Source organism: Homo sapiens, chromosome 17 (genome assembly GCF_000001405.40).
Source record: "Homo sapiens chromosome 17, GRCh38.p14 Primary Assembly".
Lineage (NCBI taxonomy): Eukaryota > Metazoa > Chordata > Mammalia > Primates > Hominidae > Homo > Homo sapiens.
This window is the reverse complement of record NC_000017.11, coordinates 74,813,135-74,839,753: the sequence shown is the minus strand read 5'-3', so window position 1 is coordinate 74,839,753 and position 26,619 is coordinate 74,813,135. Positions and strand designations below refer to the sequence as shown.

Below are 26,619 nucleotides of genomic sequence, written 5' to 3'. Positions count from 1 at the left end.
TATCACTGAATAGCTTTATTGAGCATTTTGGGCTGGGCACTAAGCTCAGCACTTTAATCCCCACAACTGGCCAGTGACATAGCTGTTACCCCACTTTACAAATGAGGGAGGACAGGTCACGGAGGCTCGCTGCCTCAAATGGCAGGCCCGGCTGCCTGGTCCCAATGCAGAAAGTACCCAATGCCATGCCTGGCACATAATGACCCTCAGCGGAGGTTACCCCTCCAGTCTGCAATCAACACCATTGGCCCCAGGTGGAAGGGATCCCAAGCTCTCTCCAGCTTTCCAGTGGCCCTTAACCATGGGTCACCCTTGCTTGGGAATCTGCCCCCAGACAGGACGCTTCCACTTCCCCCAGGCCTGGCACTGCCAGCCACTGCCCCTCTGCAGTGGCTTTCCAGGAGCGGGGCAGCAGCCCCTGTCCTCCCCACCACTCTGACTCTGGCCTTTGCCTGTTGCCGAGGCTGCTCCCTGCCCCGTAGTGAGGACAGCTGTGTGGCTAGGGGCCCGTCATGGTGCCACTGCCCACCTCCACCACCCAGCAGTGCTTCCCAGTCTATCACCTGCCATCCGCCCCATCTATAAGCTGGCAGCTGCTGCTCTAGCCTCAGGTGAGGAACAGCCAGGAGCTGCTGGCATGAGGCTCTGGGGCTCAGGTGGGTCTGGTGCTTCTGTGGGGAGGGAGGCAAAGAAAGTTTACTCCCACCTTGACCTGGCCTGCACCGGGGGCATCTGGGGCCATGCAGGTGGCAGATGTTGGGTAGAGGCTGTTGAGTTTAAGCTTTCCTCCACAACGACACCTGCTCCTGGGCCAGGCTGGGCTGGCATCCTCTTCTGCTCTTCCCATCACTGACCCCGGGGGCCCATCTGCAAAATGGAAACCACAAGCTGAGCTTGCCTACTTTGCCAAGTTGATGATGGCTGCAGTGAAACGTGCCGGATGCACGTGGAGAGCCAGCATCACCTGGGGCTCTCTTGCTGTTGGGGTTCTCTGCCCCTGGCCCCAAGCCCCATTGGCCGTCAGCGGCAGAAGCCTGGCATCGATGGAGAGGAAGGTGACCTCATCTGACTTACAGCAGGAGGACACTGAGGAGCAAAGCAGCTAGACAACGGCAGTGGTGAGGGTCCCCACTTGGCATCAGCGATGTGGTCACTGCTGGCCAGTTCCCTCCAGGGCAGGGAACACGGCCACCGACTCCATGGCTGGGCGGTTCCAGACTGTCACATAAATCAACCTGGGCTTTATGAAGCTAATGAATTTGCGTCCAAGATTTGGTTTGGAGCCTCGGGTGGCAGGATGATTTAATTAGCTTTGTCTTTAAGCAAGAGGGAACGTAATTGGAGAAGGGTAGTTCCAGATGTTTTGAGTTTTCAGCCACAGTGGGGCAGCCAGGTCTTCCTTGCTCTTGGCCTGACCACTGCAGGCCCCTGCTCTACCCAACCTGAGAGGCCTCCTGGGAGGAAGTCGCAATGATAGATGGAGAAGGGGCATTTGTTTTTCCCGTGGATGGAAAGTGACACGTGGGGACAAGCTATGAGAAACACTGAGGTGCGACGGCACAGAGAAAGCGGGCTGAGGCCAATTACACCACGCAGGGACTCTCCCAGGCTTCAGCTGCCAGGGCAGAGGTGGCGCAGCCCGTGGGCTCCCCGAGTTCCCTGCAAATCCCACCCCTGACCCTGAGACCACCTTGGGCCCCGGGAGACCCTACATCGTCGCTCTGTCAGAGGTCTGAAGACGCTGAGATACAGGGGAGGGGCTGAGCAAGGCACTGAACTCAAAAGAGGGAGGGGTGGGGCCTGAGACCCACCCCAGAGAGGTAGCTCCAGGCCAGGGGCTCTGGGCTCCAGGACAGGTGGGGCCAGGCCCAGGGCTGGGGGCAAGCCAGTGAGGGTCAGGGGGACCCCCAGGTCCTGAAGCAGTAGAAGGCACGTTGAAAATGCAGAGTTCATTCGAGTCACCTGTGTTTCCCAGGAGGCCAGCCCAGCAAGTGCGTGCATGGCTGAGTGGGAGGTGGCTGGGGACCTGGCCTCCTTCCATGGGAATGGAAGTGGGGGCCCCATCCAACCCCACATTGCCCAAGGGATATAGCGTGAACACTGAGCACCCACGCTCAGCCCCTAAGGGAGCCGCTTTTAGTGTTGGAGTGGGAGCACGGGCAGCCTGACCATTGTCAGGGTGGGAACCTCAGAGCCCTCCCACTGCCATGTCACTGCCAAGCCGCTGAGGTGCCAGGTGGGGATGGCTTCCCTCTAGTAGGACCACCTGCACTGTAGGAGGCCCTGAGGGCTCCAGTGGGGCAGCGAGGGCAGCAGACGGTCCCTTTCAGAGACAAGCTCCAGACTTTAGGCCCAGCTGGCAGGCGGCTGTGTCCCTGTAGAAGGGATGCTCCATCCAGCCTGCTACTCCGGAGCTCGCGCCCACAGCGAGGGCCCTCGCAGCTCTATCTGGGGACTCTGGTACCAGTTAGCACTTCTTGTTCTTGTCATGGGGCCAGCCAGGCCCTCTCTGAGGTGGCACCTACCGCCTCCCAGGCCTGGTGGGAGGGTGGGCCCTGCCGTCACAGGCAGACCTGGCTAGGATACTTCCAGCCTGGGATTCGCCTCTGAAGAGGCAGCAGCTGCTAGTGGAGGTTTCTTAGACAAGGACGCAGGATGGGGCAGGAGAGGGGAGGGGCATGGGTCTGGGACAAATGATGGCAGTGCCAGCACTGCATCTCCCATTGTGCAGGGAGTAGCCCGCCCTGGAAGTAGGGTTGGGGGTGAAGCGTGTTGGAAGATGTGGGAGAGGTGTGATTCCAGTAATGAGTCTTAGAACTTGGGAGCAGCCACGCGTCACCCAGGCAGAAGGACCTGGTGGGAGAGCTGCCCGGGGGAGTGAGGACAGGTGCAGACTGGGTGGAAGGTGGGTGGGGAGAACAACCCCAGCTGGACAGGGGGTTTCCCCTAGAGCCACAGTCCCACCTGCCCCATGAAGACCTGGGAGCAACTAAATCTGGGCTCTGCGGGCGAGGGGTGGGGCTGGGGCCCCTATGCCTCCTGTCACTAGACCTGCCTGTCCTGCCATCAGAGCTTGGTCTCGCTGAGGATGATATTGGCCGTGACGAAAATGAAGCAGGAGAAAGCCCAGAGCAGCACGAAGCCCACCCAGAAGGTGTGGCGGAAAGGGGACCTGTGCTTGTTGCTGACCCCACAGCCAAAGGCCAGCTGGGTGTCCCTGCGGCAGTGGTACACCAGGAAGGCGGGGATGACGTACTGGATGCCGGTGCCCGCGTAGGCCCCTGTGATGCCCACCAGGGACTCCAGGTCGTGGGTGCAGAAGGCCACCAGCACAGGCGGCACCAGGGTGATGGTGGGAAACACGACGCGGTCCACCACCCACGGGTACGTGCCGCCCTCGCGGTGGAAGAGTGTCTTCCAGTTGTTGCGCAGGGTCACGGCAATGATGGGGAAGTTGGTGCTGATGGTGAAGACGGGGAAGAGGCCCAGGAAAAAGCGCACAGCGGCCAGGCCCACGACGTCACAGCGCGCGAAGTTGAGGGTGTACATGTCCATGAGGCTGTCGCCGCGGAAGCAGAAGATGGCGGTGAAGGAGAGGAGGCCGTAGAAGGCCAGGATCAGCACGTAGTCCAGGAACACCAGCCTTGTGAGGTGGCGCTTGGAGGAGACGGGGGTAATGAGGGATGGCAGAGAGTGCTGGCACATGAAGGAGTAGACGCACACCCCAAACAGGTTCCGGACCCCCGAGAAGTCAGCCAGGGGCGGGTGCCCCTCCCCTTGTCCGTGCCCGATGCGGATCAGGGCCAGCACAATCATGACGGCGAAAGCTGGGAAACGAGAGAGAGGAGTCACCTGGTGGGGACAGGCACGGCCCTACCTTGAGTTTCTGGTCTGGGGGGCGCCTTTGCGGGGACTAGAGCCCTGTGAGAAAGAGTCATTAAATGCATGTTCATGCAGCCCTGTTCTTGGGTGGCTCAACAGTGGCTGCTCATCAGAGGAAGGTCCCGCATCCCTCTCTGTCCTGTTCTCCCCTCTCCCTGCTGAGCAGGGGGCCTGGGTATGTGGGGACAGGGCTGCAGTGGGGCCAGTGGCAGGGTGGTCCGGCTTTGCAGAGGTAGCAACTCTGTCTTCTTAGAGGAGGGCCAGTCCTGGGCAGGCACTGCCTGGCTCCCTCATCAGACCCCCAGGGCTCTCAGGGGCTCTGCCAGCTTCCTCGCAGGGAGCAGGCTGGGTCAGGACACAGGGTCACCCTCTCTCCCTTGGTTTAAGGAATGTGAGGCTGGAGTGCTGGGGGGTAGACGAAGAAGGGCATGGAGTGTTTGGGAGGAGGTGTCCTCCTGGGCCGAGGGCATCTGCTAGACACAGCTGAGGCCGACAGGCAGGAGTGCTGGGAGCCCTGGGCAGACAGGTGAGTGCCTAGGGGCCAAGGGCAGGCAGGAAGTTGCCAGTGGTCACGCCAGGGCAGAAATAGCATCAAGGACCAAGGCTGCGGACTGCCGAGTCCTGAGCTGCTGACACCGAGGCTGGAGGCAGGTGGCATGTGGCTCTGTTTTCCTGGGCCTGGCAGCACAGCTAGGGGACAGGGGACCCTCTGTGGAAGTGGAAGGGGGCCTGTGGCCCCATCTGTTCAGAGCAAACAGCTTGCGTTGCTGATGGAGACCAGGCTGGCTTCAGTTCGCAGCCCTTTACGGTGACCCTCCTCCTGGGCTGCCACTGGAGACAGGCTCACAGCACGCCCTCCAGGCTGAGTTCCCCAGAGGCAGCCTGCGCACCGCAGGGACAAGGGGCTGTGTTCCCAGTGCTCTGAGGAGATGGCACTCTTAGATCTTTCTGTGTCTCCCGCTTCTGCTCTCCGGGCTACCCAGAACCGTGGTTAGCTACTCACACACGGAGACCACCAGTGTCCGTGTCTGTTCTGAAGCTGACCAAGCCCTGCTCTCTCTGTTCAGAACATATCTGACAGCCTCTCTAGCCTGTGCCCTCACCCCTCAGGTGAAGCCCACGGGGACACGTGACATTTCCTGGTGAGCAGCACAGGCAAGTGTGAAGGGGCAGTGGCCAAAGAGGCCAGCTCACAGCTCGGTGGCTCCTGTCTGGGGCCCCCCGCAGAGCCCCAGGGCTCTTTTGCAGGTGGGAGGCTGGGTATCCTATGGTCCCCTTTGGGCCAGGCCCACTCCCTGACTCCTGGAAGGAAGAGGTGGTTCTGATGGGACCCACAGGAAACCAGGCAATGTCTTCCCACAATGACACTGGGAGTGAGATGGAATCTTCATCTATTACTTTTAATCAGAACTGCCTGACACTGTCGGGGACAGGAGGGGAGGAGGGGAGCGTGGAAACCGGCCTGAGAAAATTGCCGGTAAAGAAGATGATTTGTTTCTGCCTCTCACCGCCCGCTCCAGTCCCCGCCACTCCTGACTCTGAGGGCCTGGGGACTCCTCCTCCCCCGACATCACAAATCGTCCCAACCCTGGTCAGTCAAGCGGAAGCGGCGACCTAGTTCCTCCTTCCAGTCTCAGCCCAGGGAGCTGCCTCCAGCTTCACCCACTGGGGGTGGATGGCACAGGACACCTGTGGGACAGCCCAGGACCCTGAGCAATCTGCTTGCCCCAGAGATTTCTGCGGGTGGGTAGAGGGGGGTGTGCACAGCTGTGCCTATGTGAGAGATCCACCCCACAGGAGTTGTGTCAGGGCAGGATGTGCAGGAGGGGTACCGGGGAGAGAGCAGACAGGCTGGAGGCGGAGTCCCTGTGAGCCAGAAAGGGCTACAGAGCAGAGCTGAGCAGGATGGGGTGGGGGTACAGAGGCCAGACTGGGCCCGGGGCACCTGGTGATTTGTTATTCAGGAGGCTGCAGCAGACTGTTCTGCCACCATAAGTGGGGCACAAGGGTCAGGGCAATGGGGGCAGCTGCTGTAGGGCAAGATTCAAATCCTGCACTGCCACTGCCATCTCGAGGTACCACCTTGAGACCTGGCACTTGGCCCTGCCCAAGGCTGGCATGAACTTAGAAAAAGGCAAGTGGAGAATTCCTCTAGCTGTCTGTCACTCGGCCCTGGGCCCTGGGTCTGGTGAGCAAGCAGGCAAGAAGGCAGGAAGAGGTCAGCTGTCTGGACGTGAGCATCCCTGCCACTGCTCTCTCCTGCCCTGGACACAGCTCGTGCTTCTCTGCTCCTCTAACTCCCCAGCCTCACATCTCCAAAGAAAGGCAGCTAGCTCTCCTTACAGCCCTGACTGTGGGATTTCCTCATGGTAAATAAACCAATTTATAAAGTAGGTTTCCAAAGAAATGAGACGGCTGTACACACACACATACACCCCTGAAACATACACCTTCTAACTGGCGTCCTCCAGAGCAGCTGTCTTGGGAAGAGGCACCTTTGACACCAACAATGATGTAGAACAACTTCTAGAACCTTCAGCTAGAACAAAGCCATGGCGGCTGGGCACAGTGGCTCACGCCTGTAATCCCAGCACCTTGGGAGGCCGAGGCAGGCAGATCACCTGAGGTCAGGAGTTTGAGACCAGCCTGGCAACATGGTGAAACCCTGTCTCTCCTAAAAATTAGCTGGGCTTGGTGACGCGCACCTGCAATCCCAGCTACTCGGGAGGCTGAGGCAGGAGAATCACTTGAACCTGGGAGGCAGAGGTTGCAGTGAGCTGAGATTGTGCCACTGCACTTCAGCCTGGGCAACAGGGCAAGACTCCACCATCAAAACAAACAAACAAACAAACAAGCCACGGATATGGGTGATTAAAAAAGGATTTCATGATCTTCTAGCCATAATTAGTTTCACCTCGTAATGCCACTACCTAGATTACCTAGATTAGTCACCCATTTCATTCTTTTGATTGTCTTAAACAAGTCTATTTGCAAAAACCAAGTCTACCTTCGTGGGCTGGATGTTTGCTGCCGCCTACGAGTCAGAAGCAGATGCTAGAAGCTCTTGGGAGGTGATTCCAGAGTGTTAGAAAGTGGGATAAACACCTGACGGGGCAGGCGCAGCTGCAGGGCCATGTGGGCTTTCGTGAACTCCCCTTGGTCACACCCTGCACTGCTGTCAAAAGCTCACCCAGCTGTGTGGCAGCTCGGCTGCATGGAGATGCCACCAGCTCTGGGGCTGAGCAGACCGAGTGTGCACCCAGCAGAGGTGGGTCATTCACCCATGAATCCTGACCTGCACTCAGGGCGCTCACACACCAGGAGGGGGAGAGGCCGCCATGGTGAGGAGCATATCCGGGAAGGACAGGTGGTTCTAGAAGAGCCACGCCCCCAAAACAGGGGTGAGGACCAGCTTCCCAGTGGAAATGGCCCCAGTTGAGGCAGAAGGTGAACCCAGCTACCTGGGGAGGGGGCAGGGCCCTCCAGTTCGGCACCACCATGAGGATATGAAGGCGGGTGCTGGGATCTGTCCCCTGGGAGTGGAGAGTGAAGGGAACTGTTCCAGCCTGGTCTCCAAACCAGCAAATTCAAAAGAAACTAGCACCATCTAGAAGCTCGTTTCCCTGGGAGATGGAGGAAAGGGAGGGAAGGGAGAAAAGGAAGGAAAGGAGGAAGGAAGGGAGGAAGGGAGGGACAGAGGGGAGGTCAGGGCCCTGACCTTGCAGAGTCCTGGGACCATGGCCCGAGGCTTAACCCCCACTGCCCACCTGGCGAGGCTCCTGTGGCCCCACCCCCTTGTCTGGCCCCTCCCTGCCTCCCCTGGCTGCGGGAGGAGCAAAGTTCAACAGCCATCTCCTAGATTGATCGCCACATCCCTGGGAGACAGCTGCTCCAAAAACTCATTAGGTCTGATCATAAATCAAGATGAAACGAGGATGACAGGTTATGGAGACCCTGCCAGGATGCGCGATGGGGAGCAGGGCTCCAAGAGCCACACCGACGCCCGGGGCTCAGCCACAGCCGCCAAGACAGCCTGCGCCCACCTCGTGGAGGCTGCGTGGGAAGCCAGACGGGTGTGGAGGCGGGACAGAGCAGAAAGTGCTCCCCAGACATGCTAAGGACCAGACACCCAGGACTTCACAGTCAGATGTGCAGGGGGGTCGGCCCCCAGCAGGGCCTGCAGTTCCCCAAGAGCCTATCACAGGCAGTGCCCAGAACATCCGCATCCACATCCACCCACAATTGCACACTGGGAGTCCCGCTCTGAGTGGTGGAGAGCAGCAGTGAGAAGCTGGGAGGAGGCAGAGGGGAGGACAGAGGAGGAGGCTGACACAGGTCACACGAGCGGCTGCTGGGCCTCGGAAGGCTCAGCTACAAAATGACAAGGGGAGGCAGAAGACTTCTCTCTTAATATCTGAGTAAAAGCCAACGCAAAAGCCACCGCATTTGTCTTGTGTCACCCATGGGCCCAACTGGACTGTTCATTCCTTCATTCAACAACAATGGACTGAGTTTCCCCTGGGTGCTGGGCACTATGCTGGCCATCTGGGGACAGCACACTGAGACAGGGGTCCTGTCCTTCTGGAGCCCAGAGTCCAGGGTACCAGAGTCCAGGTGGAAGGTACAGGGGACAAATTATAACCAAAGAACGGGCTGGTTATCAGGCACACTAGCTGTGGGGTACATGATGAGATCCCCGTCGCGGGAGGCGGCCAAGCCTGAGGGAAGGAGGCACGTGGTGGGGGTCCCAGAGGGGAAGCAGGTGTCAGACGGGACGTGGAGGACCTTTCGGAGCCGTTCCGACCCTATAGGTCTGTGGCTGCTGTGACTCCTCATGCTTTAGGAGCAGCTCAATGCGGGGTAGAGACGAGGAGGGGGGCCCCCGAGGACACCCATAGGCAGAGCCTCACTGAGGCCCCGCGAGGTCGCCTGCCAAGGCTGCTGGCTGCTCACAGGCTCATCCTGATAGTGGATCTCAGCTCCACACGCAGGCCTCGCCACACTGATTCACCTGGGCCACAGCCACTCCCCTCCCTCGCACACTGACACCTGGGGAGGGAGTGAGGAAGACAGAGCGAAGGCACAGGAAGTCATTGTCTTGGAGCTGAGATAAAACAGGCACGAGTCCTGAGCTGCCAGAGGCCAGTCAGAGAAGGTGCCTGCCTTCCCTTTCTGAGGAGGCTAGAAGTAAAATTTACACAAGGACTGAGCTGCCAGGAGGCACATCCAGTGTACGGGCATCTGGACAAGCCAAGGTTCTTGTTAATATCGGCTTTACCGCAACCTCAAGCGTGGCGGTCAGGGAGCAATTTCACATCAAGATATGTTCTTATAACATCCGAGTCCTCAGGCTCCTAAAGCAGTCAGAAGAGAAGCGAAGAGAAGCAGCCTTTCCCCAGACAGCCTCAGCCTGGCAACAGCCAGATAAGAAGTCCCTGCAGGCACTGCCTCCACATCTGTCCTCACGGCCTCTCTCCTTGGCAGGGAGGAGGACAGGTGAGCCCACCCACTCTGAACACCTGCCAAACGGCAAAGGTGGCGCTGGTTTATAAGGGGATGAAAGTCAACATCTCTCCCTCCCTTCCAGAATATCCCTGCCCTCCTGGAACCTCACCCTGGGGGCCTGGGGAAAGAAGGGGGCCTTATTGGAGGGATGAAGCCGTGACTGGGCCAAGCCCTTGTAGCAGCTGAAGGTGACTTGTTCTTGGGGCCAGATGGGGATGAGTAGGTGTCTGGAGTTGGGGCCCAGGGCCCTGATGCTCATGTTCGGGGAGTCCTACCAGCACCCCCAGCTCACCTCTCTTCGGTCTCTGTGGGCAGGGACAGAAAGATCAGAGTGGTCAGTAGCGAGCCCCTTCCTTCCAGCGCTGAACACACACCCTTGGGCATCAACATAAGGGCTGGCTGAGCTGCAGGTACGGAGAGGGACGAGCTCCTTCCAGGTCCTCCCAGGCAGTGCTGCCTTGGTCTCTGAGCCATGTGAGGCCTGGGCAGGACTCCGCCTTCCTTACAGAATGCTGGGGTCTGTGTGGGGCTGGAGAGAGTTGGGTGACCTTCCCAGGCACCACTGGAGTTGGGGCACAGGGGCCAGAGCTCTCCAGGCCTGGGCGGGGAGGGGTGGAGCAGAAAGAGCCATCCCAGGAGCCCCTACCTCCGCTCTGGGGGCACACATGAAGCTTTCCCCATGAGCATGCGATGCTGAGGCACTGAGTCCGTCTTGGTGGCTTTCCTGTTTTCCTCATCCCCATGACTGGCTCTGGAATTAAGCAAGGGCTACTTCTGGGCAGCCTGAATGCCGCCCACGCTCTCCCTGAAGGTGGCAACAAACCCATTGGGCTCTGACAGAGAAGCACCGAGAAGCATCTAGAGCCGTGCTGACCACCAGGGCCACACGAGGCCGAGGCTCCTGAGCACTGGAACATGGCTGGCTCAAACTGAAGTGTGCTCAGGTGTAAAACACACTGGATTTCAAAGACTTGGTGTGTGGCCCAGCACTGAGGTGGGCGGATTACTTGAGCCCAGGAGTTTGAGACCAGCCTGGCCAAAATGGCAAAACCCCGTCCTTACTAAAAATACAAAAATTAGCCGGACATGGTGGCGGGCGCCTGTAGTCCCAGCTACTAGGGAGGCTGAGGCAGGAGAATTGCTTGAACCCAGGAGGCAGAAGTTGCAGTGAGCTGAGATCGCGCCACTGCACTCCAGCCTGGGTGACAGAGCGAGACTCTGTCTCAAAAAAGAAAAAAAAGACTTAGCGTGGAAAAGGAACGTAAAGTATCCCACTTGTCATTTTTTTCATTACATGTTGAAAGATATTTTTGATATGTTAAGTATTTTATCAAAATGAACTGAATTTCAAGATGTCACTACTAAAAATTAAAAACTTCCCCAGGTGGCTGGCATTGTATTTCTATGGGTGTCTCAGTGGGGTTTCCTGTGCTGGGGGTCTATGGGCTGTGTGGATGTGTGCGTACCTGGGAAGCACCTGAGATGCTAAGGATTTGAAAGATTTCCCCCTCCTGCCACCAACCTTGGTCCAGGACTCCTCACTCTAACCCTGTCATCTGCCCTGATTTGCATGGGGACGCTGAAGACCTAGGGTGGAGCTGAGACGCTGCACCAATCCTTCTCGAAAAGCCCAAGGACAAATGGGCTCTGAGTACCCCCGGGCTGTGACCCCCAGGGCAGCCTGATCTGGTGAGGGAGGCACTGGCTGGGTCTGGGGTGCTATGGAACTGGCCTGTGGTCCTGGGCCACCATCAGAGGGACATCTCCATAAGGATGTGAGCTGGAACAGAGGCTCTTGGGAGCCATAGAGGGCCCTGCCCAACGGTCCCTGCCCAGAAGCCCCCTCCCCCAGCCCGCTCATCCCCTTCTACAGGGCCTGGAAGGGATGAGGAGTATGAGGACATGCATCCACTAGGGCCAGACCGCACGCGGCACACTCCTCCTCCCTAATCCCTTTGGGTGTCCGAGTTGTGCACACACACTCAGAGCCATGACCCTGAGGGCCAAGGGTGAAGGGTCTTCCTCCAGGCATGGGCCCCCAGGCCTTTTCCACACGCCAGTGCTGAGCTGTGCCTTGGCAGGGCTGCTTCCTGGAGAGCTGCTCCCACAACTCTCTGACCTCTGAACCTGGCTCCAGATGTCCCTGAGGTCAGGGCGCCCCAAGCCCCGTGCCATTCCCTGCTCCCCATGTGTGGCTCTGGCTCTGACACTGTGAGGTGGAGGCCATCCGTCACGGTGGCTGTCTGGGAGCGGCACTCTCTTTTCCAAGCAGAGAATCAACATGCCAGGGCTAATGATAACAAATGGCCGGCAGTGTGCCCATCACCAGCTCAGGCACCGGCACTCCAGGCGGGGAACAGGACTAGGGGAGGACTTGGCGCCAGCTCCCTCCTTCACCACCACTTAGCCCTTGGAAGGTGCCGGGCTGCAGGGCTCTCTTGGCTTTAGCTGGGCCTCGGAAGGGGTGGGTGCGTAATACCAGCCTGAGCAGAGAACCACTGGAGACCAGCCTCTTGGCCCTAAAACAGGGGGAGGTGATTGGGCATTTGTTCCTTAAATAATGGGACTGACCTCGGCAGAAGGAGACCCACATTTGCAGGCTGGAGGTGGAAGAAGAGCCCAAGGATCCTGCAGCCTAGAGGTGTGAGCGACACTAGGACACAGTCCTGGCTTGGAAACGGCCAAGTTACACTGGGCACAGCTCCTGAATCTGCCACTTAACTGTGTAATCTTGGGGCAAACTGTTTTATCACCTTTAAAAATGCAGATGCGGCCGGGCACGGTGGTTCATGCCTGTAATCCCACCACTTTGGGAGGCCGAGGTGGGTGGATCACTTGAGGTCAGGAGTTCGAGACCAGCCTGGCCAACATGGAGAAAACCCATCTCTACTAAAAATACAAAAATTAGCTGGGCGTGGTGGCCCATGCTTGTAATCCCAGCTACTTGGAAAGCTGAGGCAGGAGAATCACTTGAGCCTAGGAGGTGGAGGTTGGAGTGAGCCGAGATTGTGCTGCTGCACTCCAGTGTGGGCGACAGAGCGAGACTCTGTCTAAAAAAAAAAAAAAAAGGAGATGACTGTAGGGACGCTGAAGGGTTGGAGTGAGACAGGGCAGTGCCGTGCTGGTAAAACCTGGCTCACAGCAATCGCTCAGGAAGCTGCACATGCCTTCTATCATTGCAGAAACCCATTGCCCCTGCTGAAAGCCCAGTTCCCAGGCAAGCAGAAAAAACTGTGTCAGTGCTGAGTTCTCATCTAGCTCCCCTTGTGCTCCAACGAGGGGGACTGGATGATACTAGTGATCCTGCCTTCCTGGCCAGGTCAAGCTGCTGTCAGAACAGTTCCCAGGAACACCTTATCACTGGCCTCAGCAAACCTTTGGGGCTCTGGGGGTCAGGGATGGGGAGGAGGGCAAGTAGGACCCCAACAGGCTGCTCACCCCTGCTCTGCCAACCAGAGTGACCCTCAGTTCCTCCTCTTACGCCCCCGCCTACCCCCACCACCGCCAGCATCTTTTAAGGCCCCTCAAGGCCAGGCAATCCCCACTACCCCACCTCTGGGGCCTCCAGGTGTGTGCCCTCTCTGGGAGGGGCTAAAGGAGACAGGGTCTTTGGAGCCTGAGCTGGCCCATCCTTCCTGGGGTGGCACCTGCCTACACTTGGGCTGTGGTGTGGGTGAGGGCTCTGCCTGGGAGGAGCTCCCTTTGGGGACTACAGGAGGCCCCCACAGGGATGTGCCAGGCACCAAAAGCATCTTGGCCCTGGGTCTGGTTTTCATTCCAGACCTGTAGGGCATCCAGCATATGCCAGCTTTGCCTAGCAACTCACCCACCATGCACTTGGGTTTCTGCTGAAAGGAGGGAATCTAAAGCCAACTGATCTTCCCATGTGGGCCAGCTTCTGTGCTTTCTGGAGGATTCTAGCTTCGTTCACTCCTCACCCCGGGAGAAGAGGAGAGTGCTGAAACAAGCAGCTTTATAGGACGAGGTTCTATCCTGTGGCTAAATTATTTAGCCCAAAGGACTGAGAGCAGAGTCCCCCTCTCCCCAGGGTGGCAGGAGGTGGCAGCAGCCTGGTGAAGGGCAAGTGTCTGAGCCTCTGGAGCAATCAAGCCTTCCGTCAGAAATCACGGGCTCTGGCCTTTCATCCTTCCACTTCCCCACACCCTCGGAGCCTGGCAGGTGGCGCCTGGGAGGGCAGGGTCTCAATTTTTCATTCTTAAGTTGTCAGAGCAAGCTCAGTGTGCAATCATTGGGAAGGCAGGGCCTCTGGCTGCTGGCTGACTAATCTCCTTCCTGGAGATTGGAAACATAAAATTTCAGGCGCTGTCACCTTTCCTGCAGGCTGCTCAGCCCTTTCCTCTCCAGCAGCCAGCTAGATGCAGAGAGAGACGGGAAGGAGAGAGTGAGGAAGATGAAAGGTGGCACCGAGCAAGGATGGGTGGCCCCTCCTGGGTCTGAACGTAACTCTGGAGCTCCAGGGTTGCTGTGGGCCGTGGCAGCCCTGCAGATGTATATGACGGCCTGACTTGCTGCAAGGTTAAGACTCACCCTCCCACGTGAAGCCCAGTTCTGCACAGAGGCCATGACCATCACCATCGTCGGGTCAGACTCGACCCACAACCACGAGTGATCTGGGACTTAGTTTCCTTGCCTTGTCAGTGCCCGGACAGCTGGGCCACCGACCTCCTGGGCACTGCAGGAGTCTTTGTCTGGTAGCTGGATCTGCCCATCTCGGCCGTACACAGATCAGAGCTGATAACAAAGGCTGCTAGAGGAGAGGTACGGCTGCAAGGGCAACACCCTTTGCTCGGGCCAAGTGAACTCTCAGGTCAGTCCTGACTGATGCTAAGGAAGGGAGTCATTTGGCGGCACATGGCTGGCTGTTTGCCAGCAAGCGTTCATTACCTGCCCACTTTACCTTAAAACAGAAACACTGGGTTCCTCTCCTATAAATGGGCCTCTGTGCATTTGCAAAAAGAACTTCTAGAAAACCAAGAATAAAATTAAGACCAAAATGAAACATATACAAAAGGTTTTTCAAGATTCCCTCCACTGGGAGTGTAACCAGTCATGACTGGACACGGAACAGCCCAGGAGAGCCCTGGACAGTGGCCCAGTTGGAGGGTGGGCAGGGCTGCCGCAGAGACCTGGGCCGTGCAGGGCTGCTGACAGCAGGGTGGCGTGGTGCTGGCACATGAGGCTGTCTGGATGGAGGCACAGGGGGCATTTTGGGGGGTCCTTCTGGGACCTCTGAGAGGCACTAGTTGAGTGGTTGGAGGAATTCCAACACCAAGCTGGCAGCAGTGGGCACCAGATGGCCCAGACACGAGACCCCTGGCTGCCGGTGGTGATGGATCAGCGCAGTCCCACTGGGAGGCTGTCTGCAGGGATCAGTCATGGGTTTGGAGACAGGTAAACACCAGAAAGCCTCATGTCCCCAGGTGATGGCTTCCTCTTGGGGGCCTCACCTGCCACCACCACCATGTCCCACCTCTCCCTGTCGGCTTGGAAAACAAATCTGGGGCAGTTGCTGAGGGAGGTGGAGAGAGTGGGGCCGAGAACTTCATGAGGCAGGCTCAAGTTCATCCACAAACGCCTGAAGAGGACGGTGTCTGACCCACTTTGAGGGGAACACAGATGCAAAAAGAGCGTGTGCAGCGTCTGCTCCGCATACACAATCAGAGGGAAGGGAACCCTGCGGTCCTCGGCAGCCCAGGCCCGAGGAGGGCTGTGGCACTCCAGAGCAGCCTTTGTTAAAAAGAATCCGGATTTTAATAACCCCAAATGGGGCGCCCCGCACCAAGCCAGCTGTTCATGGGAGGCGCCTGCAGGCATCTGTCGGTGAAAGTTGGTAATGGGACTGAAGTAATGAAGCTGCCAATACTTCAGCCCGAGAGCTCCCTGCGGCGGGGCAGGGGCAGCCTCCCGCCATCGGCTTAGGTGCTCAGATTTGGGATCTGAAGTCCCTGCGCTGGGCCTGTGAGCACAAAGAACATCCTCTGTGCTGCGTCTCCCCTCAGCATCCCTGGTCTACCTGTGGCTGGCAGAGGCTAGAGCCCCTGCCCCTCTGTGAGATGAGCCTGCCTTTCATTCTCCCAGCTCAGAGCTTCCTCAAAGTGGGTGGGAGTAGATGCTGGGGGCGGCGGAGCAGAGAGGCCTCCTCTCCACGCACCACAGCTGGGATGTGGCAACAGAGAGGCTGCCCAGAGCAAACCTGGGTGCTCCTAGATCTCACCGTGACACCAGTGTGGACACCCAGGGCCTGCTCTCTTGAGGTAGCTGAGGTCATGTCCCCAGTCTCATGGCCAGCCCCCAGAGAGGCTCATCTTGAGGCCACTCTTGGGATGTGGCAGCTGACCAAGATGATGCTGAAGACGGTCATGCTCACCGTGGCCCCCTCTGCACACTGTGCAGGTGCTGCGCTAACAACACGGCCCCATTCAAGGCCTCGCTGCCACCGCACAGACAAGGAACTTGGCGGAGAAGCCTCGATCCAACTGTGCACCTTGGGAGTAAATGCCGCCTGTCCCACACGGGGGGAACAAGGCAAGGAGGTCCGGCGTGACCTCCAGTAGGTGCGCCACCTGGCACAGAGCAGCCACCGGAGACCTGATTGCTCAGGAATCTGCGGTGGCCACCTGGGGGTGAGCCAGCCATGTCTGCCAGGGCCTGAACAACAGCCTCACTGCTGGGGACAGCACACCAAGACCTTCCTTCCCCATGTGGATTCAGAGGTATCTGCCACCCAGGCATCCCACACTGACCAGCCCAGTCTCCCCAGAACTTATTTGGGGAGCACAAGAAATCAACAGACACTGTCACATGTCATCCATGCTTTGAGTTTTCCTGGACAAGTGGCTATTTACAAAGGCCATTTAACCCTTTCAGTGCCATTCTGGCAGAACGATGGGGCTTCCGAGGCTACTAAAGGGAATGAGGGCAGAGCAGAGGCCCTTGGAGGAGCTGGCCCGAAGGCTCCTCAGCACAGCTCCAGGGCCTGCAGTCTCCTCCGGCCTCATTTCAACAGATGGCAGAACTAATTCCTAATTAAGCCCAAGAAAGTTTCCGGCTCAGCACATTTATTTATGATTTTCCGGTCCCTTTGGTGCTTATTCTTCCCCTTTGTCTTCCTGGAACCCAAGCCAGCTTATTTCCAACCCCGAGCTCCCCACTTGGTTATTGGGAAAGCATGGCCTCATCTGGGGAGAGGGGAGAGGAAGGGGTGCGGCGCGAGTGTGGGAAGGAGGGTGGGGTGTGTGGGACTCGGTCACACAGCTGCTTTTAAGACAGAATGAAAAGGGAGTTTGTGGCGAACTGACAACTTGGCACAGACTTGAGAGGACAAATAGGCTTTTGAGGTCACTGCCTTTAGGGTGGTTCTCGAAAAACTGCCTGGGGTGAGCTTGGCCCAGAGGCGAGAAACCCTCGTGGGGTCCCTCCCCCAAAAGGGGCTGCCAGTTTTGTTTTGTTTGGTGGCTCCAGGGGGACCTCCATCCCCTTCGTCCCCTCCTGAGCCACGCTGCTGCCCGGGGCTGGGAGGGGGACACACCTTCCGCCAGCACTGGGAAGAAAAATACCCCGCTGGTTCCAGTGCTGGCTGCTGGGGAATGGAACCCTAGACCCAGCTGCGCTTCAGAGTTTACTTAACTGGGTAATTTTTCTTCTGGCGAGAGGGCTGTGCCACAGAAAGGTTTGCTTTTTAATCCCAGAGGTCTGAGTCTCTCATGGAGAAAAAATCACTGCCTTTGCTGTCGCCCCCAGCAGCATTCTGGAGAAAAGGTTCGCCTGAGAGGCTCCTGACATTTGATTATCTCTTGGATCAAAAGGAAAAGAGGCAGATGACTTGCTAAGACAACAATGTCACCACCAAAAAAACAAGTGCTGTCGACCTTCCCGAGCTGGTCTCCACCTCCGGCTCCTGATGCTGCCAAAAGCCTCTCTCGAGGCCACTGTCACCTGCTCCGCAGCACTGCAGGGCCCCGGGAGCCTCAGGGTGGGAGACCTGGGGGTGGGAAGGGGCTGGGGGAAACAGGAGTTGATTTTCTAAAGCCAAGTCTACGGTGAGCCTGACTCTGGGGAAGCAGGGTCTCCAACAGCAGAATGGCAAGGGGCCCGGGCTGTCCCCAGACGCCTTCCAGGACCCCGGGGCCCTGCTGGCCACAGAATTTGGCTTCTCCTCTGACTGATGCAGGGATACAGCTGGTCTCCTGCTCTGAGACAATCGCTCTTTATTTGCCCTCAGCCTCCTCTTCTCCTTTTTACAATCTTTTCCCTTTCAACAAATGTATTGCTCCCCAGACACGGGGAGGAATCTGTCACCCTAAACAAGTGCAGGGGTCTTCGGAAGCCATTAACTGTCACTATCCTGGGTGTCATCCCCATGCCGGCTAAAGCAGGAACGTCCCCCTCCACCTCTCCCCAGCCTGTTCCTGTCCTCCTGGATGAGGGGAAGGGACGGGAATCAGCTCAGCTTTCTCCATGCCAGTGCCCACGGGGCCCTTTCCCCCTCCCCAGTGCTGAGGGGCGGGTCAAGTGCAGCCAGTCCCACACAGGGTAGGGGCCAGACTTTGGGGCTACAGATGTGGCTGCAGGGAGCCACAGGAGCTGGAGCACCAGACTTAGGCCAGGAAGGCAAGGAGGGAGAACGGTTTTCTCTAAATCCTGCTTTACTGAGAAAACTCCTTCTTCTGAGACCACCAGGTCTTACCCACTCGGCCTTACCCAGAGCTCTCAAATACTTCATATAAGCAGAGAAATAGGAAGGGTGGACGGCTGAGCCCTGGTGTTTCTGATCCCTGCTGACTCTGACTTCTGGACACAATCCCTCCTGGCACCCAGGGAGGCTCCATTCTAAATCCATTCCTTGGAGCTGGTGGGATCCCCAGGTTCTAAGTAACAACTCCCATCTTCCCCCAGGTAGTCACGTTAATTTAACCTGGGGCTTTGGAACTTGTGAGTGCAATTTGGGAACGGCACTCACTGGTGAGTATGTGACCACACAGACTGAATGGGGCAGATGCAGACTTCCGCCCTGTCTAGGGATGGACAGGTGTCCTCCCGCTCCCTCGTGTCAGCTTGATGCCCAAGGACGGGCTAGGCCCAGATGATGTGCCCCTGTGGGGGCCTCACAACTCATCTCCATCCTGCTCTCATCTCCTTGCAAGGACAAACCAAGAGGGCAAAGAAGTTACAGGCTGGTGAGCATGGCTCAAGGCAAGGAAAAACTTTCCAGCACTGACATACAACCCCTCAGAGTGGAGTGGGAGCCTCATCCAGTCGTGAGCTCTGGGCCCCGGAGGCCACCCTGTCCCCTGTGCTGTACAGCCTGCTCCCAGAGGGGCGAGGCGGGGCTACCTGACTGCTGTGGCCCCTTCCAACTAAAGATGCCAAGACTGCCGTGTACAGAGGCTCCTTAGACTGACATCTCATAATCCTGAGACTGGGGAACCAGGGGAATTGCAGATGTCAAGCTGCTGGAAGTCATTTAGATCAGAAAGTGTCCTCGGCGACCATGACCCGCTGCTGAGTCCTGGCATGGAATCAGGATCAGCGTGCACCCCCAGAGTCTGGATGAGGGTAGAATGGGCGAGCACAGTGGGAAACGGGGCTGGGGAAGGTGGTCAGGAAGGAGGAGCCCCAGCCTTGGCTCCTCTAGAGCCAAGTGCTTCTGTGCTGAGAGGCAGGCAAGCTCCTGGAGCCTGGACACACCCACTCTGTCCAGGCCCCTCTCTCAGAACAGCAACAGCCTTCTTTGTTTTTAGATTGAGCAGAAGAGGGGTCCAACAGACGCCCAAAGCCGTGCTGGCCACAGAGGGCCCCACCCGCTCCTGTCCTCCGTCCAGGTGGATCGGCAGCTGGCCCTTTCCCAGAGGTGGCTGGCAGGATGGTGTGGCGGAAGTAGACCAGCCCCCAACCACCAACCTGTTTGGGGGAACAGACGCCCAGACCGCAGCTGAGGACAATGGCACTCATGCTCAGCACAGTGTCCGTTGGTTAGAAGATGCTGTGGAGGGAGTGTCTTTTCATGCCCTGGTGGCCAGAGACCCAGAGGCAGAGAGTGGCTGCTGCCATGGCCCGCTGGCTTTTATGGTTATGCCACATAGCACACTCATGAGAACGCAGAGCCGCGCCGCTCTCGTGCCCTGCAGGGCACAGCCCAACCCAGGCCTTTGGGAGCCCCCCTGCCAGCCTCTGGGTCAGTGGGCACCCAGCATGGTTGTATGAGAAAGAAGCTGGTCCTAGAATGAACAATCCTGGGCTCTAGCCCCAGCTCCATCCACACTATGTGACCTCGAAACAATCATCTTGTTTTGGTGTTAAATTTCCCCAGCAGTAAAAGGCAAGCTGAGTATTCAGCCCCCTCCTTATCCTTTGGAAAGGTGGGAGGACCAGACAGGCCTGAGTCAATGGAAACCACCACCACACTCCAGCTACGGCTGGGGGCCCTGCACGGCCTCTCATGAAAGGAGAGGGAAGGGACGAGAGGAGAAAGCGCAGAGACTCGAGCTGTTTCTCAGACTCACCGATCCATCTCATCAGAGAGGTCAGGATCTGCAGGTACTTGGTCTTCTGGACGTCAAAGAAGGTGAACGGTCCGAGGAGGAGAGTGAAGATCGCCTGGGGGATGGAAACAAGAGTGAGGAGGGTGCAGGCCGCACCAGCAGACTGTCTGCACACGGAAGACGCTGCTGCTCACGTGGCCTCCGCCCATAGCTAAGGCCGGGCCTGACTTGGGCACACCTGGACTGGCAGAGGCTCCCTGGGGTCACCTTGGGTAAGTGCCAGTGCCAGGGGTGGAACAAAAGCTCCAGAGCCATGCTTCCCTGCTGCTGCTCACATGTACTGTTCCGACAATGCTGAGCCTCCTAGGCAAGGCCCAGGTGTCATTCCAGGGACCCCATGCGTCCTGCTCTCTTCAGCAAACACAGATTGAAGATCCATGATGTGCCCACCCTCGAACTGCCCATGAGCATGGGCTAGAGACATAATGGCAAAAAGGATCCAAAAGAAGCACCAGCCATGTCTCTGACTCTTAGTTTACTGCGAAGAAAGGACACAGTGGGGAGGGACCCCAGGAGCCCTGACGAAGCCTCGCAGGAGAGGACACCTCTTCTGACGGGCTTGGAGAGGAGTGATCGGGATGTGCATGGGCCACGTTTTTGACTTCGAGAGGAGAAGCCTGGAGAACGAGAGCCCCTGGCTTCCAGGGCAGGCCCCTCGGAAGTACCCGGGATGACCAAGGAAAGGAGCTGCATCTAGGAAAACCAGGGCAAAGAAGTTCTGGGCTGAGGATGGGACCCAGGCAGAGAAGCGGGTGCTGGTCAGCATGGGTCCTCTCATTTCTCTTTGGAGAACAGGGGAAAGTGTTGACTCAAAAAACAAAAGTCAAACTCTGTCTCAGAAAACTGGTCTGTGGGAAATGGGAACCTTCTTTGCAAAGGAAAATGGGGGTAAATGTGACAGAGCAGAGACTGGAGTGTGGGGAAGGTTAGGATTTCCATGCCAAATTGGTTGCTCAGGGAGTAGAGGAATTAAGAGCTGCTCATTGCAGTTAAGATGATGGTACCATTTCCAATCTGCCACTCGGAAGCAGTGTGAGGCATCAGACCTTATTAACATTTACACAGTGCCATTTTATCACGTTAATGCTAATGACGCTCACCAGAGATGCGGCAGGCGGCTCGGAAGCCTGAACGAATGTGGGGAGCGGGCCCACTTGGGGAGTCGGGCTCTGGCCTGTCATCTGGGTGAATCCATCACAGCTGCTCAGCCCTCGGCCAGCCCCTGTGACTGACAGGTAGGAGCCCCGCAGAAGGAGGAGCTGAGCCTGTCCCGCCCCCCGCCCCCCACCTCTGGCCATAAGGAGGGCAGGATGTGGGAGAAGCTGTGACCTCTTATCCAAGTCCATTATCACTGTAAGGATGAGTGATGCGGAGGACTGAAGTGCCGCTTAAGGAAAGGCTCTAATTAGCTGGGCTAGAGAAGGCGACCTGGCAGCCACCAGGCATGGAGGGCTTTGGAAAGAGCAGCTTTCTGCTGGGGGCCTCAGAACTGGCCCTGCTTCCACTCAGGAGAGGGGAAAGAAGTCTTTCTTTCTATCAGGCTTGGGGGATGGGGCTGGGCAGGGGAAGGCAGAGGAAAGGGCTCTCCTTACAAAAGCAGTGGACAGCCTCCGCCGTCCCCTCAGCCCAGGGAGAGGAGCTGGGGACACGGTAGCGCATGCAGAACGTTGACTCTGGCGGAGCAGGTCTGTACGCAGCACCATCAGTAAGTCATTTAGGAAAATTACCACTTCAGGGAAACTTTCCACTGATGAATTTCTCTTTTGAAGGATGAAGAGGGAGATGTCAGGTAGAAGAATGCATAAACACAGAGCCACCTGCCACAAATGTTTCCAAGTAACTGTGGTCTGCTGGAAACTGGACTCCTGGTGTGCCCGGGTGTTTGGGTAGTTCGCCTCTGACTTCCCGCTGAAATTATGGTCCTCCAGCTGTGGGGGCTGGAGATCTTGGGGGTGGCTTATGTGGGAGGTCAGATCTCATCTCAGAGACCTAAAGACTGGTTTTTAGAAGGTTTTACACCATAAAAATAGACGGACAGCAGAACCACCCCCAGGGGCAGGCAGGGAATGCTCCTGCAGGCTGCCTGGGTCCTGTCCTCCAGGGGCCCTGTCCATCTCTGTTCCTGTCCTCGGCAGATGCTTGTCAAGATCCTAGGACACAGAAGGCTCCATTCTGTAAAACCCTGTATGGATGAATCCCAGCCCACTGACAGCATCCCTCTATTTAATCAGATGTACCTCTGAAAGGTATTGTAAGTGGTATGTGTGAGGTGCCACTTGAGTGACCAGGAATATGAATCTAGAGGAGTCGAAACGAGGGTTCATATCCGCTTAGTGTTCTCAGACCCAGTTCTGGGGACAGCAGGTCTGTACTCAGCATGGGAACTGGCAATGAAGGACTCTTCTGGAAGATCTGGCCAATGGCTGCAACGTCCATAGATGGATGATGGTTGGAATGTGGCTTCTTTTTCGTTTCATGCTCAGGAGTACAGACCGACCATAACGCTTGGGAAGGCTCAGGGCCCACTTAGTCACAGCAAACACGCACAGACTGCCAAACAGCAGCCCTTCCATAGGACTGCGAGCTCACACATCAGAGAGCACCCAGATGAAGACACAGACTGCGAGCTGGGGCTAATTAAGGAACAGGTGTCCTCTGCAAATTAGTTAGAGCCAGAACTCAGCAACTGCAGGAGCAGGCATCCGGAGTGACAAAGGATGAGGACAGAGGCAATGGCATGCGCTGCCACGCCACGGTGTGGCCGCTGAGGTCTTGGGGAGGGACGGGGGCGGGAGAAGGAACAGCCCCTGTCTCCAGATGGTCTAGCAGGGGCAGTGTCCATCTCTGAATGCTCAACAGCCAAGCGTGGCACTTTGTGTTTTCTTTCCTTTTTAAAAAAAGGAGAGATAAAAAGCCAAAAGAGACAGCCTACTCTCTTGGGTCTTCCAGTCTAGCCCATATGACATTATAAATTAGCTGGCTCCTGAGCAATTTTCCAACCCCCAAATGCCATTGATCAGTTCAAACTCAGTCTCTGCTCAAGGACTCTTGTAGCCCAACTCATTACAGGAGGCAGAGACACGAGTCGCTGCAGCCAAGCACATTTCTAAAAAAAAACAAAAAAAAACGAAAAAAGAAAACTCTGATTTCTAATAACATCTTCAAACTGGTCATGGGGAATAAAGTCCGGGACGGACCCAGGAGAGTACAAATGGGTCTGTTCAGATCCTCTTTCTTTTTGGGTCAGTGAGTTTAGATAACACCAGGGGCCCCACAGCAGCCTTGCTGAAGTCTTGATGGAGACAAGGAGGCTAACATTCCCAGGGCACTGCAGGCAATGCTCAGCCACAGCTCTTTTAGAACGTTCTGCAGTCTACAGCTCAACAGGGCTGCCTGTCCTCCTGTGTCCCTTACATGCGCTGCCCACCTCCAGTTGCCCAGGCTCCAGACTTCCAGCAATCTCTGACTCTTTCCTTGCTCTCTACATGAGGTTCCTGGGGCTGCTATCACAGATGACCACAAACTGGGGGGCTTCAAACCACAGATGTGTGTTCTCTCCCAGGCCAGAAGTGCCCTCTTGCAAGGCAAGGCTCCCAATAGCACCCCCAACAGGACAGAGCCCAGTCCTACGCATGCATTAAGGATGGGGCTGACAGGGAGGAGCCGTTTCTCTAGATGCCACCAGAAATGAGATTTAAGCACAGTAGGGAGTAAAGAGAGTGCCTAATCTCAAGCCCAGCCTTCTGTCCTCTGGACAGGAAGGAAATCTACTCTTCAGAATCAGTGACTCGAAGATGTGGGGAAGGGACCCTGCAGCCTCACGGGGGCCTGTTGTGGGCTGTGCCTGGAGATTTCCTGGACAGGACGTGGCTTTGCTGAGGACCCGGAAGTACTGACACTTGTGCCTGTTTGAGCAGCCTGGCATCTGGGTACCAAGGGCTCAGTCACTAACTGGAGCCTCCACTTTCCTCTTGGAGTGGTTTGGAACAGACTGAAGAGTCAGCTGCCCAGCCATGGAATGGGAGAAACAAATGCTGTGCTACTTCCGAGAATGGATCTTTAAACCAAGAACGCTCAACTCACGCCTGCTGAGGCTGTGCCGTGTCCACCACCTGCCTCCCTCCTCTCCAGTTCTAACCCTACAGCACATGGCACTTACAGAAGAAAGGCTCCGACTCTGCGTGCTTCTGTGTCATATGCAAAAGGAGCCCAGGACTGGCAATGTGTTATGTCCTTTAACCGCACCACGGAGCGTGTGAGTGAGGGCGTCAACATTAGAGCACAAAAGTAAAGCGGGTAGATACTTATCTCCCCATCCCCAAATTTCTCTGCACATTTAGCTGGTCAGAGAAACAAAATGAAATTTTAAACTTGGTGCCAATCTCAAATTAAATACCCTGTTTAACACCTTGTACAGTCTCCGGGTCCCACCCTCTGCCTGCAGATCTGTCACAGCCAATCCCAAGGCCGCATTGTCCCAGCCACTGGTCCTTTGATCCGCCCTGCCCTGTGCTATCAAAACTGCCCTGTGATAACATCACTGCCCAAGCTGCAGCCCCTCCACACTCTGCCAAGCGCTAACACACATGGTTTCATTTCATGCTCATGGCCCGCTGCAAGGTCACTGGTGCAGGTGACGATGCCCTCATCTTACTGATGAGGAAACTGGGGGGCTGGAGAGGTTCAGTGACACAGCCAGAAAGCGGCAGAGGGAGAAGGTCCCCCTCTCTGACACCCCGTCCTCAAATTTTCAACCTCATGCCTTCACCCTCCTGCTGGCAAAGAATCTTCCCCTGTGACCTTCTGAGCCCTGCTCAAGTGCCAATCTCCTCTACAAGTTATTTTAATCCTCCCTGGGGGCTCTTGACTGAATTACCAACACACAGTTGATACCACCTGACTTCATTCCAGTAGGCTCTGAACCGCTGCTTTCTCTTGGGTTGATTTTGTGTCCCCAGCAGAGTGTAACCCCCTTGAGGGCAAGGACTGCATCCTTGTTTGTCGCAGCACCTAGGAAGGCTCTCAAACGTGGGATGCTCACAAAAGCTTTGTAGGATGCACTGCATTTGGTGGGGGGAGTGCCTGCTAGAGTGGGTGAAGGGGCAGCCCCAGTCTTGCCAACCTGCCTTGTACACGTTTTCCATGCCTCCTGCGGGGGGCAGTGCCTGACTTGGCAAAGCCAGCAGCATGTGGGCAAGAGTCACCTGCTCTGCCTAAAAACAGCACATAGTCAGGGAATAACTCTTCCCAACGCAGCTGAGGAATTGACATGTTATGATTTTAGGAAACACACATCAAATCAAAACAGCATGGCTCTGAGTTTACCCACTGGCTTCAGGGAGAATGATATTCCTCCCTCCATGAAGAAGAGAGTGCACCCGGGAAGAGCCTGGGGTGCCCGACTCCCCACTATCACCAGCATCTCCAAGATCCCCACAGGAAGGGGGCCTGGGGTGCCCGGCTCCCCACCATCATCGGCATCTCCAAGATCCCCACAGGAAGGGGGCCTGGGGTGCCTGGCTCCCCAGCATCTCCAAGATCCCCACAGGAAGGGGGCCTGGGATGCCCGGCTTCCCGCCATCACCAGCATCTCCAAGGTCCCCACAAAGAAGGGGATCAGACTCTGGTGAACTGTGACCACTCTCAGTCTGCTTGGCTCCCAGAGGGGTGGTGTCTTAGAAGACATCTTCACCTAAAGTGAAGAAGCTCAAGGTCTTGAAAGGAGTGATCCTTTTCATCCCTACTTTCTGGAGACAGTGGAGTCAGTGTCCCTAATAGTCACCCACCGCCACCCACCAAAATGCTTACAAGACAAAACTAAAAACCCAAGTGCTGCTGGTCGTCATCCTTCCTCTGGCTGGAAGGAGACGGAGCGGACTGCAGCTTCCAACTGGAACTAAGACTTTGATGAAATTCAACAACACTCATAGTTCCATCTCAGTTCCCTCAAAAAAGGGGAAGGAAGACAGAGGGGCTACTTCCCTGGTAGAAAGGGGAGACAGGAGGCCAGGCATGGTGGCTCACACCTGTAATCCCAGCACTTTGGGAGGCCAAGGCGGGCAGATCACCTGAGGTCAGGAGTTCAAGACTAGCCTGGCCAACATGGCAAAACCCCGTCTCTACTAAAAATACAAAAATTAGCCAGGCGTGGTGGCGGGTGCCTGTAATCCCAGCTACTGAGGAGGCTGAGGCAGGAGAACGGCTTGAACCCGGGAGGCAGAGGTTGTAGTGAGGTTGTGGTAAGCTGAGATTGCGCCATTGCATTCCAGCCTGGGTGACAGAGCGAGACCCTGTCTCAAAAAAACAAAACAAAACAAAACAAAAAACCCACAAGAAAGGGGAGACAGGAGAATGAGGGGCTGAAGTGAGGGCTGCAACAAAGGACAAGTCCTAAGAACTTTCTGTGCAACTCCACGCCAAAACTAACCCATGGGACAAAGAGTGACACACAATTACCCTTTGCACCAAGTGACAGAGAAAACACTTGGAAGGGCAGCTGTCAGCTGACTGGTGATGCCCAGGGGAGGGTCCCTCCCAGCCCTGCCTCCTGACTGAGACTTGAAAAGCGGGCAATGTCCCATGGAGACAAATGCCAGTGGCCAAAGCGGCCAGCAGTGACCAGGGAAGCACGCAGGCGACGCTTTTGTTCTCATCCTGGAGTGGCAAGAAG

General features: G+C 56.8%; 1 protein-coding gene across 6 annotated transcripts in view, besides 2 other annotated features; it reads right to left on the bottom strand.

Annotated features, from left to right (window-relative positions):
* Positions 1-26,619, bottom strand: part of SLC38A12 (solute carrier family 38 member 12) — a 63,255-nt gene continuing 36,636 nt past the window's right edge. For 3 of the 6 annotated variants that reach the window (NM_017728.4, XM_006721963.3, XM_017024797.2), the window contains 2 exons: positions 19,911-20,004; positions 1-3,827 (listed from right to left, as the gene is read on the bottom strand). In NM_017728.4, coding sequence (NP_060198.3) covers positions 3,067-3,827; positions 19,911-20,004 — 855 coding nt within the window. In that variant the 3' untranslated portion in view covers positions 1-3,066. Of the gene's footprint in view, positions 3,828-5,261; positions 9,693-19,910; positions 20,005-26,619 lie in introns of those variants that run through there. The other 3 variants (NM_001321264.3, XM_047436329.1, XM_017024799.3) reach the window with 2 other exon arrangements.
* Positions 7,573-8,493: an enhancer, noted in NCBI's record as "H3K4me1 hESC enhancer chr17:72827400-72828320 (GRCh37/hg19 assembly coordinates)". NCBI's record gives its function as "activates a minimal SCP1, AML or CMV promoter by ChIP-STARR-seq in naive H9 embryonic stem cells {active_cell/tissue: H9 hESC(naive)}" and the evidence as "EXISTENCE:reporter gene assay evidence [ECO:0000049][PMID:30033119]".
* Positions 11,062-11,562: an enhancer, noted in NCBI's record as "H3K4me1 hESC enhancer chr17:72824331-72824831 (GRCh37/hg19 assembly coordinates)". NCBI's record gives its function as "activates a minimal SCP1, AML or CMV promoter by ChIP-STARR-seq in naive H9 embryonic stem cells {active_cell/tissue: H9 hESC(naive)}" and the evidence as "EXISTENCE:reporter gene assay evidence [ECO:0000049][PMID:30033119]".